Here is a 15,195-nt window from a genome sequence, read left to right on the forward strand (position 1 = left end):
CTCTTGACTTCTTGTCTCAGTTGCCTCTCCTCCTCTCAGTAAATGTTAGTTGAAGGTAATTCCACCATTAGAGCCCTCTCAATGGCAACATTCTTTATCCTGTAATATTAATGGGGCCCATAACTATGACACATAACTCAGACTTTTTATTTCAGCAATTTTCTATCCTATTTACTTTAACTGGCACCCCTAGAGTTACAGGGCTTTATTGGCTTAGTTTAAATGTGCTATTGTTACTTATGGGTTAAGCAGGTAGGCTGATTGCATTAATAAAAATTGATAAGTAGGCAGGTTATCCTTCCTAATTTATTTCCATGGCAACAGACAAGCAAACCTGCCTTGTTTCTCAGGAGCAGAATGCTAATAATCAAATGTGCCTTACTCAGATGAATATAGAACACAGTTTACTAATATAAATGTCTTGACATTGTGTGTTTTACTGAAGAAAAATACATATTAATTCTGCATCTAAGTTACATGATAGATATGCTCAGGAGAGCGAAAAAATGAGAATGTTCCCTCGAAACATCAGAATTGTTCATTAAAGTAATGTATTTTAAATAGTGTGTACACTGAACAATTTAATTCTCTGACATTCACATTGTTTATTTCAGGAGGTGCTTTTATTACAGAAAAATGTCTTAATGCATAGTTATTTTGACATCTCAGAAAATAATGGATCCCACACAAGAGTTGAATTAAGCAATAATCCCTGGGAAAGTGGTCATTACTAGCAGTTAATGATTGGTTTGTTAGTTAATGGCCCAAGGCAAAGCTGAGGGCGGTTAAGACTCTAACAAACGAGTTGTGAATTGTAGCAATGGCTTGTGAATTGTAGTAGTGAAGGATTTTAAAGGATTTTTCCCCTGGTTATAAACCACCTTTAATGGTTTATGATAGCAATAACGTGCTTTTTAAGACTAATTTTAACATTGGACAGTCTGAATTACCTGATATTTCTAGTAAACTGACAGCTGATTTTCTACTGATATTTCCTAGTGCTATAAATTTGTAGGTGTGATATATTTTTAGAATGTAGGTACTTATACCCATATATTGTTCATTTGTTCAAAATGAATGCAATGTTAAGCTCAATACAAATAGCATTCTTCTTTAGTGGTTTTCTAGGTTACAAATATTACGTGCATTCCTGGTAGTGATAATTGTATATTTTCTTTAGGTTTCTTGGCTGGCAAGTTTTGACCTGTGATATTAGTTTAACTTTATCTTGAAATGAGATCACCCACAGAGTTTTTACTTGAAAGGCTTTAAGATTACAGAATGGGCTCTTGAATTTCCCACACCCCCACAGCTCTCAAAGGAAGAAAATACTAGTGGCCCTCCCGTTAGCTTGCAACCACGTTTTCATGTGTTCATGAGTAATTTAACAGAATAAATGTGCTATATTCAGAATTTCTTTACCTAACATCAGTGATATCTTATCACTTCTCTTTTTTAATCTGCAGGAAATTAGACTTCATTAGTCTGGGTACTTGCCTCACAAAACTACATGTAATGAAACTATAATAGCTTCTGGGATCCAGGATGGCTTCCTCCGCTTTCAGAAAAACACTATATTCAGCTTCAATTAAGTCTAGGCCTGCATAACTGACAACCACAACCAGTCAACTGGTGAATTGATGGGAGGATCAAACTGATAATTTGGCTCTCTAGATATATTTTTGAAAAAAAATTAATTGATTTCTTTTAAAATGAGTTTTTTCAAATCCATTGAGTTACATTTTGTAGGTATCAGCTAGAATTTGGAATTGACTTCAATCAGAGGGGTCATGTGGAGGAGGGATTAGTCTAATTCTATATACGTGCAATAGGCACATATTATCAAATTAAATTATTTGATTAAAATTCTCCCATAAAACCACAGTATCTTATTCAAGTGTTCTACCATTTACATATAGGGATTTGCCTTTGTGCAAAGAACATCCTGTGGGAGAAATATTTTGATCCAAAACAAAATAACAATCTCTCCCTTTCTTTTCTCTCTCCCCCCACCTCTGTGCACATGCATGTGTGTGCACACACACACATCTATGCATTTATTCAGCAACTAACATTTGGTGAAAGAAATGGTATATTCTTAAATTTACACATGAATAAAATGAGAATCATGCAAGCTAAACTGACGTATACACTGTCACACAAAAACAAGTAGCAAATCTGAGATTTAAAGTATTGATGTTGTTAATTCAAGTCATATGTTTGTTCATATTACATAAAAACATCAAACGAAAATTAGAATTAAATTGGAAAACGATATTAAACACAATAAAAACAATCTTTTAAAAATAGTGTAATAGTTTGAAGCTAATATTTTATGATTAAGAGCCAATGATTATTATTACTAAAAGAATACTTACCATTCTAATGTGTCATTATTAAAGCATTTTTCCCTCTGAGAATAATTTAGTTTTATGAATATTCTAAACACTGTAAGAATCTCCACATGCTCCATGATACATTTTAACTTCAGTATCAAATGGAAATCAATTAAGGCTCAATATATTTAGCTTTTATCTGAGGTCAGAATGGGCTCCAGGGAGTCATCCAAATCCTACATAGTGTTGACATCTAATTTTTATGTGCAGACAGAAGTAAAGATTTGGGTACTTGAGGATTCGTCAATTTATGCTGCATTTTCCAATCTTATTCTTATTCACTAAATTTATTATTCATTGGTATTGTTTTTTCTTAATAATGCTTATTTGTGTTCTGAAGAAACAAAATACTTGACATTAGATAAAGAATTGATGATACGTAAATAATGACTATTAGCCCAATAAAGACATGCTGTCAGCAGAATATCTTCCATCTCTTTCTAACTTAATTGGGAATGCAATGCAGTGTGTACGTTATGTTGCTGCAATTAATTCAAATCATTCCTAATTGGGATCTCTTAAATAACTCCCTCCTGGGTCTAGAGAGGAAATTGAATCAAGCATTAAATCAGGAAGTCATCTTTATCTTTAAATATATTGTTATTCATAATCAAATATGCTGATATTGATGTTGCCAAAGATTAAGAAAAAGATCTTTTTTAGTACTTTGTAATTAAGGAAGTACTAGTTGGTAAAATCATGGTTAACTGATAGTGGTAAAAACCAATGAAATATTAAATGCATATTGATTACTGTGGGCAAATGGAATTGCTTACTTGAAGTATTTAGGATACAGAACTAATGATGAAAATACAAACCTATAGACAACAGGAGCTGATTTAATAACCAGATGAGTAACAATAGATCTCATTACTGTGAATGATGTTGTAGAAATAGGGATACGGAGGAGACAGTATTCAGGGCCAAACATATAATGAGAAAGGAAGTTCAGTGTTGAAATAGTAATAATAATTCTATGATGAAAAAAAGCAATGCCTTCCCAGAGGAACCACAGTGGGAGAAAAAGAAATAAAGAAGAATGCATAGTCCATAATGGAGAGCATTCCTAATCTAATGCTCAGAGCACACCTGGGAAATTAAATTACCTTCTAGGTACCATATTTTCAAAAGGTATTGAGGAAGATAAAGGCTGCAGAACTGATGCCATAAAATAGACAGGTAAAGGACCTGTAATTATTTCATGTAAAACAGAAAACTGGGGTGAGATGGTCACTTCTAAATATTTAAAAATTTGTAACTTGGAAGAATTACACTTACATTATTCTTCCCTGCAATTCAGTTAGGAAACAATCCATAGGAATTACATGGAGGCAAATTTAGCTCAATGTAAAGATATTATTTTTACCATTAGTAAAACTATCCCAAACAAATTCATGTAAAAGTTTAATGATGCAATATGCTATAAACATTTAAGATGAAACTAAATAATTTCTTCTATCCCTACTAATTTCTTGCCATACTATCTTACGTCTTGAGAGCTTTACCTGCTGAAAGAGAGGTTTTTGGGAGTCCTGAGCCAGCTTGGAGAAATTTAACCAGAGATGACACAGAACAGCGATTATTTCAGCATAGCCCTTAAACTCCAGGGATATGCTAAGGTTACTCCAGCATGTTTGGATAAGGAAGAAGGGAGGTAAGCTGAGGCAGAGTACATACTTCAACCAAATATGTTTATGAGCACAGCTTCTACCATGGCTTCTGTCAGTTCCATTTTGACTGTTGCAAGTCACTTCACCTCTCTGAGCTCAATTTCCTAAGTACCAGATAATGATGGCATTAACTGATGTCGTGACTATTTGAGTTGGCTTGGGTGGTATCAGATGAGATATTGGTTGATAGGTAAGAAAGTTACTACGTGTGACTCTGAGTTCACACATCTGAGGGTGTGCACAGGCATGCTGGCTCCTCACTAGAACTATGTTATTTTCTACCTGTGCACACAGATGTCTCTATTTCCCAGCATCCATGTGGCCTGAAACTGAGTTCTATACAAGAGAAAGATGGTATGTGCTATCCTCAGGTCTGGTCCATAGATCCTTCCCACACGATCCTCTTTGCTTTTTTTTTTTTTTTTTTCCATTCTGGCTAGATAGGATGGATCCCTGGGGAAATTTGGAAATCAGGTGTCAAAGATTGAGCCTCAGGATGCAAAGAGTCATTTGGAGGAGAATAGCAACATTTGTGGATTTATGTGAGCCAGAAATAAAGTGCAAATTTATTAATTCACTGATGTCTTGGAGTTGCTGTAGATGTTGTTATCCTAACTAATATGGAAATGAGTTAGAATGTGATATTGCCGGCCAAAACCTAAAAATGATAATATTGACCTAGGCACTGGGGTGCAGATTACAAGGAAATTGATGTTGGAGGATGGGAAGATGGAGACCTATGTTATGTGACAAAATATTTAGTAAGTAGGTTGCCTTTGATGACTTTTAAATTGGACCGTGTTCATGCTAAGGTCTCAGCACTGAATACAGAGTTAGGAAGAGATGTGCATATCACGCCATTTCATAAAATTTCTATTATACAAATACAATAGAAGTTAATAACCACTACAGCAGAGATATTAGTAGCATTATTAGGATGTGATGGATTTTGATTATTAATTAGATTTGTTTTTAATATAATTTAATTATGTGTTTATTTTAAAATAATGACTATGACTAACAATTGGCTCACACAATTACTGAAAATTAACTAGTCAGTTTTTGTGATCTGATGTGAATCAGCTCAAGCACATAACTATATTTTCAACTTCGTAAGAATAAGAAATGAATTTTATCTGTTTTAAAACACTGGTATTGTGGGGTTTATCTGTGACCACAAGTACCACTGAGCTAACAAATGCATGGGCTACATTCTTCATTCAGAAAGGGCGTGTAATTTCAACTTGTTCATGCTCCACTGGGTGATAGGGAGTCCCTGCTTTACAACATCTTTAATCTCTGAAATCTAAGGATCTTGTCTGTAGGTGGTATTTCTCCGGGCTCTAATAGAAACTTTCTTGCCCAAGTGTGTATAAGGTGGAAGTGTGATTGTCAAAATCCAAGTTTTGTAGCAAAATTGACATCTAGTAATGTAGAGTTAGATGCTTTTTCATTATCACAAGGCAACAGGACCATAATGCTTAAATTCTGTGGATATTGTCCACATAGATAAATCAGGGGCTGCTGTAGTAACCTCAGAGCAACTAGCAAACAGAGAAAGAATGTTAGTTTACACACCAGACATATGTCCCTGAAAGAATCCTATCTAGTAGTAGGTGTACTATGACACTGAGCAATGTACCTTGATACAATCTTTGAGAATTTCTGTAACATTAAATTCTGAGGTTAAATCAAATAATTTTCATGTTAAAAGTCTTCACCCTGGCCCTGGCCCTGTAAGTCCTGACCATGAACCCACTTATTAATATATGGGAATCACAACCAGCCAGGTCATAAAACCAAGCTATACATAAGAGTAAACATTCTAGGTAATTCTCTTTGCCTTATTTTCTACTTGCCTCTGTCTCCCTTCAGTTTTGAAAATCATTATCTGATTATCCTTCACCTCCCAAAGTAGGATAATATTTCCCATTGCATTTTTTACCCCACCCAACTCCCATCCTTGTGTAACCATCCATTGGAACAGGAGAAGAGGATGGCCTAAAGATTTGCTCCTATCTTCTGCGTGCTCTCCACAGGAGCTGTGCCTGGTCCTGTTGTCATTGGAAGCTCACACTTTTCTCACTATATTAAGTAAAAGACAGCTCCTGTTGGCATTTTCTCTGATGAATTCTGATATGATGTTCCCAGTGATAGTCCCCTTCTCTCTTCAACTTGCTATTTCAGCGTTTCCAGAATCAATATGCATATCTTGGATGCTTCTCCTGCTTTCCGGTAGGTGTCCAGTAATTTAATATGCAAATCCTCACTACCAAAGGCTTCTAAGCAAGTGACTGTTCACTGAGACATTGATACATGCCTTGGATAACCTTGCAGGGCAATGTTTTCAATGTTCCTCTTAACCCTTCTCATAGAGATGTCCATTCTTAAAATAATCCTGAATTTTTTTCAAACCTACTTTAAAATGCTTTTTAGATAGACATCTAAACTTCTCAAAAAATCTGTAGTTTTGGCACTACATCATATTTAGCCTAAGCTTTAAAAATTATACAGTTGCCTCTCCCAAAGAATTTACTTTCTTTAGGGTGTTTGTGCAGAGAGCTGGGCACATGGATAAACTTTTAAATTATCTAATCAAATCTGGCTTGGTTATCTCTTCAAGTTTGAGAAAGACCACCCCACTCAAAGGATTTTTTTTTAAATTCTGGTTTCTATAAATAGGTGCTGATTTTCTCTTCAACATTTGCCAAAATCACTTCCCAAGGAAATTCCAACTTATGTAATTGTAGGCATACCATACTGGGTAAATCTTAATTCTGTGTTCTATATAGAGTATGTCTTCTCTACAGAGCTTCTGTGCCAGTAGGGATTTTTTTTTTGACAAAGTCTCTCTGACTTTACTCAAATTTCTCAATTTGACTAGCAATTTGTCCATCATACTGAGGGTGCTCTTTTGCAGCAGAAAGTACTGGGCCATGGGAAGACCATTCCAACAAGCATGAATGTTTACAATTACTGATTACTGAGGACCCTCTCCCTCTTCCCTCTATTAATATATGGGCAGCATATAAAACCATGGGTGTAGACAAGGTAAATTTCTTACTTCCTGGAGACAACTGGGCATATATTCATAGATTATTTGCCTTCTGGATTGCAATGGTGTTATGCCACCTGCCTCTGGGAGTATTCAAACAAAATTGATAAAAAGACCCATGGGTCTTCCTGAAGCCAATTTGGGGCCTTTCTGCTTTCTCAAGAATGATTGCTTCCTTGTTACAAGACTGTTCTTTGGGTGGCCTTGGACCAACCCAGTTCCCCGTTTTGCTTGTAGGTTTCAAGAATAACTAGGATGTTCTGGGAATGTAAAATCCTGAGGTAAGGAGGAAGTGGCTGGAATACTATAGGCTCTTTTGCAGCTCCCTCATCTTCCCAGAACAGGGTATTCTTCAACAATTTAGTCCAGTGGTTAATGTGACCCTGAGGTGTATGACTTGGGGCAGGCTGCCATTGAGGGTCCCTCCACTGTGGTGTAATTGGGCATGCACAGCAGAGACTTGATCCACCCTGGGTAGCTTTCCTGAGCCATGGGAGACTGGCTTGTGGTGCATCCTAGGCTTCTGTTGTCCCTCATTGCCTATCTGTAAGTGATAAATCTGCTTCCTATAACTTGTGCTGTATGTGAGTGTTCTGTTTCACTGGACTCAGACAAATTGGTAATCAGCGCACCGGGAACCTGCTTCACATTTGTCAGCATCAGCGTTTCGAAAGCGTTTCTCTACTAACTTGTTTCTCAAAAACTTTTATCTCCCAAAGAGCAATCATTCTCCCCATCTCTTATCATTTTTCCGGTCAGCCAGATCATTCGGATTCTCCAAATCAGATTCAACTCAAGTCTTGTGTTCCCTATTAAAACTTTCAGAATACGAAGCATTGAAATGGTAGTGGGTCAAGCTGAAGAGTTTACTCCTATTTAATTGAATTCTGGTGTTTATTTGAAATAGGTTTAGCTCAGTGATTGAAAATCAAGCTTTATTTCAAATATGCCTTTTGCTTAATGCTGCAGAATTGCATTTTCAATGTTGGAGAGAAGTTTATAGAGAAGAAGAACCATGTCTAATGGGTATTAAAATGCAATTTCACAGACATTCTTGAAACCGTTCCTCTAATAATATTACTTCGCACTTAACTAATTTATTTGTTTAATGTGAAGTTAGCAAGAAAACTAAAATCAGAAAAATAAAAATAAATCTGGGCCATTTCCACAAAACAAATATATACAGGCACACAAAATTGGCTTGCATTTTTTGATACAAGTAGATTTTTATCAACATATTATTGCCACACAATCAGGGCTGTTTTTTAATACATTATTTTGAAAGGTAGGTCAGCATCACATTTCCTGCAAGGATTTGTTTTATTAAGTCAGTGATTGTAAGAGGGATTAAACCATAAGGGACTACTTCCTATATATAGGTCACATATTCATTTACATAACCTTTTCTGACAGTGGGGAACTTAAACAAATAATTTGGATATTTTTACACAAGGAAAGTAGTCAAGCAGAAACACAGGGAGATAAATATCCTCTAGAATTCCAATTCCAAAATGGAAATAAACAAAACAAAATATTTCCATGAGTTGTAAGTAAAATCATCTCAATACTAGCCAGTAGGTAATTGAAATTGCTACATTACTTTGAGTCAGGGAAATACTAGGATGATGACTAGAATTGGAAAATAACAGAACCTTTTCTTCTTCTCTAATGATATTAATTTCCTACACCAGAACATGAACAGAATGATACTCTTGACAAATGAATAAGAGAACTGTACTCATTCTCACTTCAGCTAATATGTTCTATGGTGCGAAAAGTGGGGAGGTGATAAATCAGGCCACTTATACTGAGTACAGTGAAAGTATTGTTTTCTAACTTCAGCCATGTTCCCAAGTGGCCAGGATCATGGATAAGAAATGGATGTTTTATAGTACACAAGGCTCATACAGGGGGCAATTTTACTTTCATTATCCAGATTCTGTACACATTCATCTTTAGCCTCCACTTCTACAGATCATATTTTGAAGAATTTCATTGGCCCTCTAATTCACCTTTTTGTTTATATGAGAACTTTTTTTTCTCAGCATTACTAACAGAGTGTTACTGTATCTCTTATTGAAGATTATTATTAATTACACAAGGTAATATATTTAATTACAAGAAAATATTAAAAAATTAAAACTTTGGTATGACATTGAGCTAAAATTCATCAACATGTCTACATTTCTCATAACATTGACTACCCACTATTCCAGTTTTTCTAAGTTCCTTTATAGCTCTGACACCCTAAAATAAACATTTTTAGAAGTGATCTCATTAGCAGAGAGAATACAGGCTCTATTGTTTTCATAAACCAAGATATTGTATTTTCACAATTGTACCCAAGATCTTTGTTTGCTCTTTTAAACACATCACATCATTTGTAGGTATTGGTCTTGTGGTCTTCTAAAATCTCTAGGCCTTTTTAAGGCAGTTTTTCTTTTCTAGGTCTTCCTTTACTATACGTATTAGTCCATTCTCAAACTGCTGTAAAGAACTATCTGAGACTGGGTAATTTATAAAGAAAGAGGTTTAATTGGCTCACGGTTCCACAGGATATACAGGAAGGATGGCTGGGGAGGCCTCAGGAAATTCACAATCATGTCACAAGGCAAAGGAGAAGCCTGCACATCCTACATGGCTGGAGCAGGAGGAAGAGAGAGTAAAGAGGGAAGTCCTACACACTTCTAAACACCAGATCTTGTGAGAACTCACTCACTGTCTTGAGAACAGCCAGGGGGATGTCTGCTGCCATGATCTAATCACCTCCCAGTAGGCCTCCTCCTCCAATATTGAGGATTACAATTCGACATGAGATTTGGGTGAAGACACATAGCCAAACCATATCACCATACTTAGAAATTTATCATTGATTATGCATGTTATACTTTTCAATTATAGTTTCAATGAAGAGGTCACATAGACTTCCATTTTTCATATGTACTATGTTTACTGTCTGTTAAAGTTGTGTGTCTCTTGACTTTTTGATGATTATTCTTTGTATGTCTTCCTCCAAAAGACACAACAATATCCAATTTATTTAATCTGGAAGTTTTGATCCACTGATTAAGAATCAACCTAATTGTCCTATAATCTAAACTGAATTTCAGTCTAAACAGAGACTGTAACAGATTATTAAAGGGGAAAGAAATTTAGAGAACATTTAATCAAATACCATCTTTGAAGGCTAGAAAAAATTAGTGTCAGATAAATGAAATGGCTTTCTTAATATAGTTAAGCATTTGTGGAAAGTGAGCTATAACATATTTATTTGTAGTACTCTCTATATCAGGGAATATTTTCCCATATTTATAAACCATATTGGTGAACTACAGTAATTAATTGTGGTTATTAAATTCAACTAACTTTTCTAGATTATAGGCTGCAGCTAATCAAGTTTCTATTACTATCACAGTCTCTTTAAAAGAAGAAATGATGCAAATACTTTATTTTCACCTGCTAATTATTACATTTGTTAATGAAATAAATGCATTATTTCCTGATGTTAGGAGGGAGTTCAAGAATACCAGTTATAATTTTTTTTTTTAGTATTTAGAAATAAATAAGTGTACTCTGGGGTCTGTATCAATCTCAGAACATTCTGAACTTAGAAACAGCTTTATCACAATATTGGCTACTGGCTTAGTGGTTGGAAAAATTGTTTTGTTAAAGTTGAAAGAAGCAGCAAAGAAAGTTCATGATTTATTGATCTGTTTTTCTTGCTAGCTTGAAATAAGAGAATTGGTACCAATTCTCTATGCATATATTGATTATTATATAAAAGGACCTGTAAAAGGAGCAGTTGAATACTGTTGAAAATGGCTAAAAATGTTTCCGGACAAACCTTATGAGATTTTCATGGGGTCAATTTTATTTGAACACTACACTCTTATTTTTGTTACTTTTCAAAGAAAAGGGAAAGCTAATTTAAGTCAGATACTGCTCTTTTTACTGTGAATACAAAAGGATCAATGATCTTAATGGGTTGATGGTAAAGCCTCCAAATTGAAAACTACGACAGCTGATTCACATTTCATAACTAGTATCTAATTCTCATAAAGTCTTAAAGTTAATGAAATTAAAATACTTAATGAATGAAGTTCCACTCAAAAAAATGTAGAACCACCATGCCCACACTGCCTTCATTTGAATCTTTCTTTGCATTGCTTTAAATCTAAGTCTTACAGACATTATTAAGTCAATATGTACAGGGGGTATATAAAATGATCATTATCTTATTTTATAAATGATTAACGCCATAGTAGTTATTTTTAGGAACTATTATGAGAAAACATTCCCAACAAGGAGAATAGAAATAAAATGCAGGTTTCCATCTGCATTTTCAGTTTTTAAAATCTCTTGATACGTTTACAGATTTAAAAAGCATAAAAGTATATGAGGTACAGTTGAGTGGTCAGAAGATCACAGTGATACATAAAATAAATACAAACCTAGTAACTACAAATACAGAAAAGTACAGTTTGGAATTATTCCCTCAAACACTAAAGTGACATTCTTATTGATGATGCAATTTTATTTTGGTGAAATTTCAAACAACAAAGTATGCTCTTTTTTAAATTTACCTTATAGTTGTTTTCTGGAAAATTTAAATTAAAACAGTACAAATTATTTTGTTTATAAGTAAAAGATAATTTGGTTCTTGGTCCAAATAATACAGAGTCTCCTCACTCGACTTTGCATGAATAACTGACAGGAGTTCAAAAGAGGTCAAAAGGTCTTGCAGGGGCTGAAAAGTTTTTCTTCATGTTATATGATGAACTTATGCACTGCAGGACATCTGGTACCCCAGCCATCCCCCAGTGAAATGTGTGCGGTTACTCCCAATACACTTTTACAACCAAAAAATCCATATACATTTCTAAAGCATCACTTGATGTGGCTCCACTCCTCATAATAACATCAGTTATATGGTATGCTATAGATTAGATACAATATGGTATATGAGTAAACATACAGAGGTAGTCACTACCATCTTATTAGGAATAGAACTGAGACCTTAAAGTAGAATCAAAAGAGAGGAAACTTTCAGTATAAGAAAAACTGAATACCCCAGAATGTAGTATGTTCCTGGTATGCAGGCAAGTGAAGCAAAAATGAATCACTTAGTAATAATTTGCAAAAAGCAATTCTTCCAGTGCTTAATTAATTGAATGGCCACATTTCCAAGAACCAAGTATTATAGTAGAATTTTTCCAATTGAGAATTTTTGAGTTATCAATCCACAAATATTTCTATATCAATTTATCTTTTTCTGACATCACCCAGTTGTCATTTTATTGGATAATAAAAATTTCTTGTATATTTTGTATTGTGGGTGTTGTTCGTGTCACAAGATCAAATATTTTATCAATGGTAGGATATCTTTCATATCCACAATGTTTTATCCCCCCTTCTCTTAATGTTTAGATTTAGAAATATCTTTACAAATTTATGATTTGCAAATATGCACACACTTGAGGATTACTGACGTAGTTTAAGAGGAATTCTTGAATTTAGCTGTAAATTGATTATAAGATCACTAACATTTCAACTAAATTTCTCTTCTATTATAATTTCTTCCTTGCAGTGTTCTTGATAATTATTTATGTGCAGTTGTCTTATATCCTCCTTTGGAATGATGATTGAGGAGTGTGGCTATGTCTAATTTATTGAATAATCATATTTCCTAAAATCTGTAGCTCCTTGTCATAGCACTTATGAATGCTCAATGAATAGTCTTGCTTGACTCACTAAACTTGATCGTGAAGCAGATTTGGCAGAGACTATGTCTATGTCTTTCTGTTACGAAAATAACCAGTCAGGTCTGGCAAACTGTGAAGGGAAGAACAAATGAGACTTCAAGTTGAATGATTGTCATCATATATAAAAACTAGCCAGCCGACCGCTCTTTTTCTTTCATTTTCCCACTAGCTGTGTGATTGTCACGTCACCGGACTGCTCAATGAACCGTTTAAATAAATTGACTGGTTAATTTCAGCAGGTATCTGATTGATTCAAATCTTTTTATTTACTTTTTATTCCACAAAACTTAAAGGATGCTGGAACTGATCACGTCATCAGATAAATTTAGCCAGACCTACGTCTAGCCTGGGTCTTTGATGTCAGATCACTGAGAAACAAAAAGGAAAATTAAAGGAACCAGGGGCCCTAAAAGAATCGTCGGTGGTACCTTTCTCTTTTTCTTTCTGCTGATTCCTCCTTCTTTTTCCTATATTCCATTAACACTCTCCTTTTTTTTTCAACTCCTGCTGCTTCAGCATGTTGAAAGATAGTAAGCTATGCATAAAATCAGATGCGCTATTGTGAGCCCCGCCAACGATGCTAGATGAGACACACAGCAAGGCCGGGCGCGGTGGCTCACGCCTGTAATCCCAGCACTTTGGGAGGCCGAGGCGGGCGGATCACGAGGTCAGGAGATCGAGACCATCCTGGCTAACACGGTGACAACCTGTCTCTACTAAAAATACAAAAAATTAGCCAGGCGTGGTGGCGGGCGCCTTTAGTCCCACCTACTCAGGAGGCTGAGGCAGGAGAATGGCGTGAACCCAAGAGGCGGAGCTTGCAGTGAGCCGAGATCGAGCCACTGCACTCCAGTCTGGGTGACAGAGCGAGACTCCGTCTCAAAAAAAAAAGAAAGAAACAAAGAAGAGACACAACACACAGCAAGGGAGAATAATGAAAAGCTTATGTCAGAAGAAAGCTGTGGCATTGTGTGTGTAACTGACCATTTGCCAGCCCATAAAGCACCGCAGAAACACTTAAGTAGTATTCGGTTATTTTATTCCTAAGCATTGTCAAAATCACTTTTTCTCCTAAGAGTCTAGCAACTGAGGAAGTAAACAAGTATTTACTGAACTATTAAGATTATAATGATTCTTCTCCTCAAAAACATTAAAGAAGAAAAAAATGTATTGTGCCGAAACAGAAAGGAGTCCAGGGATGACAATGAAAAAAAGTTGTTTCCCTGTTTGCTTTTTTGTCTGTTTACATGCCCAAATGAAGCAATTTCAATGTCTTTCTTAATGTGGAAAGGGTGATCAAATCCATCTTATTTTAGTCACTTATCTCTCTTACCTGCCATTCCTGAAATTTTGCACATTGTAAATGTAAGTAAAAAAACTGAAGTACCGAGTGAAAAAAAATAGTCTTCAAAATATAGTTCTTAAACACATTTATGTCAAGAAACTGAAAGGTGAATGGTCTGACAGACATTTTTATAATCTCATTTTTTAATGAAGAAGCAAAAAAGCAATCTTTGAAAAACAGAACAATATAATTTTAATTCATTTTGCGTTAATGGCTGAAGACCAGAGGCAAAATAAACCAAACAGGAAGAGAAAATAGTACATATGGGTAATATGACTCGGATAATGCTACTAAGGAACCATAAGTTTTGACTTTAATAACTTTAATATGATTCAATTTTCAATTTTAACATTATAATGACTCACAATCCTAATTACTACTTCTTTTCTGCATTTCACATTCTTTCTTCTTGGGATTGTTGCTAACACTACTTCCTGGTTAGCACATTTACTTTATTTTTGTCTCTTTTAAAAACATGCAATCAACATTTCAGCATAATAATTTTCCAGCTGTATTTTGCATTCTTTGCTCAGAAATGTTTTTAGAAAGAATGCTAAAACTCTCAACATTTCATGCGCTAAAAATGTTTCAGGAATTGTATTTCCTCAAATTTTTCATATGCATGTATAATTTATTTTAAATGGACAACATTATCAACATACTAAGCATATTAAAGAGCATATCTTGTTCTCTATGTCTCAGTTTTCCTAAAACTTACAGATTCTTTGTAAAGAAAGATAAGCTTTTATTGCCTGTGTCATAAGAAATAATCATATGCATTTTTTGAAACCAGAAATAATCATCAAATATCTTTAAAAATTTATCTGTGGAGTCTATTAACTATTGATTCTCCATCAGATTTTCCTTCAAAAAATTATTAAGGCAAACGTGTTAAATGTGTTTTTATTTAAATAGCAGAAATGTCTGTTACACCAAAATCTTACACAGGACCTCATTTATGAAAAAG

General features: G+C 34.8%; 1 long non-coding RNA gene across 1 annotated transcript in view; it reads right to left on the reverse strand.

The window, feature by feature from the left end:
- LOC102723724 (uncharacterized) overlaps nt 1–15,195 on the reverse strand; it is a 104,643-nt gene that overhangs the window by 22,350 nt on the left and 67,098 nt on the right. The window contains exon 3 of the long non-coding RNA XR_428030.5: nt 1–15,195. This exon is cut by the window's right edge and continues 14,978 nt beyond it. This is a non-coding gene — a long non-coding RNA (uncharacterized LOC102723724).

This window comes from Homo sapiens, chromosome 6 (genome assembly GCF_000001405.40).
Source record: "Homo sapiens chromosome 6, GRCh38.p14 Primary Assembly".
Classification (NCBI taxonomy): domain Eukaryota; kingdom Metazoa; phylum Chordata; class Mammalia; order Primates; family Hominidae; genus Homo; species Homo sapiens.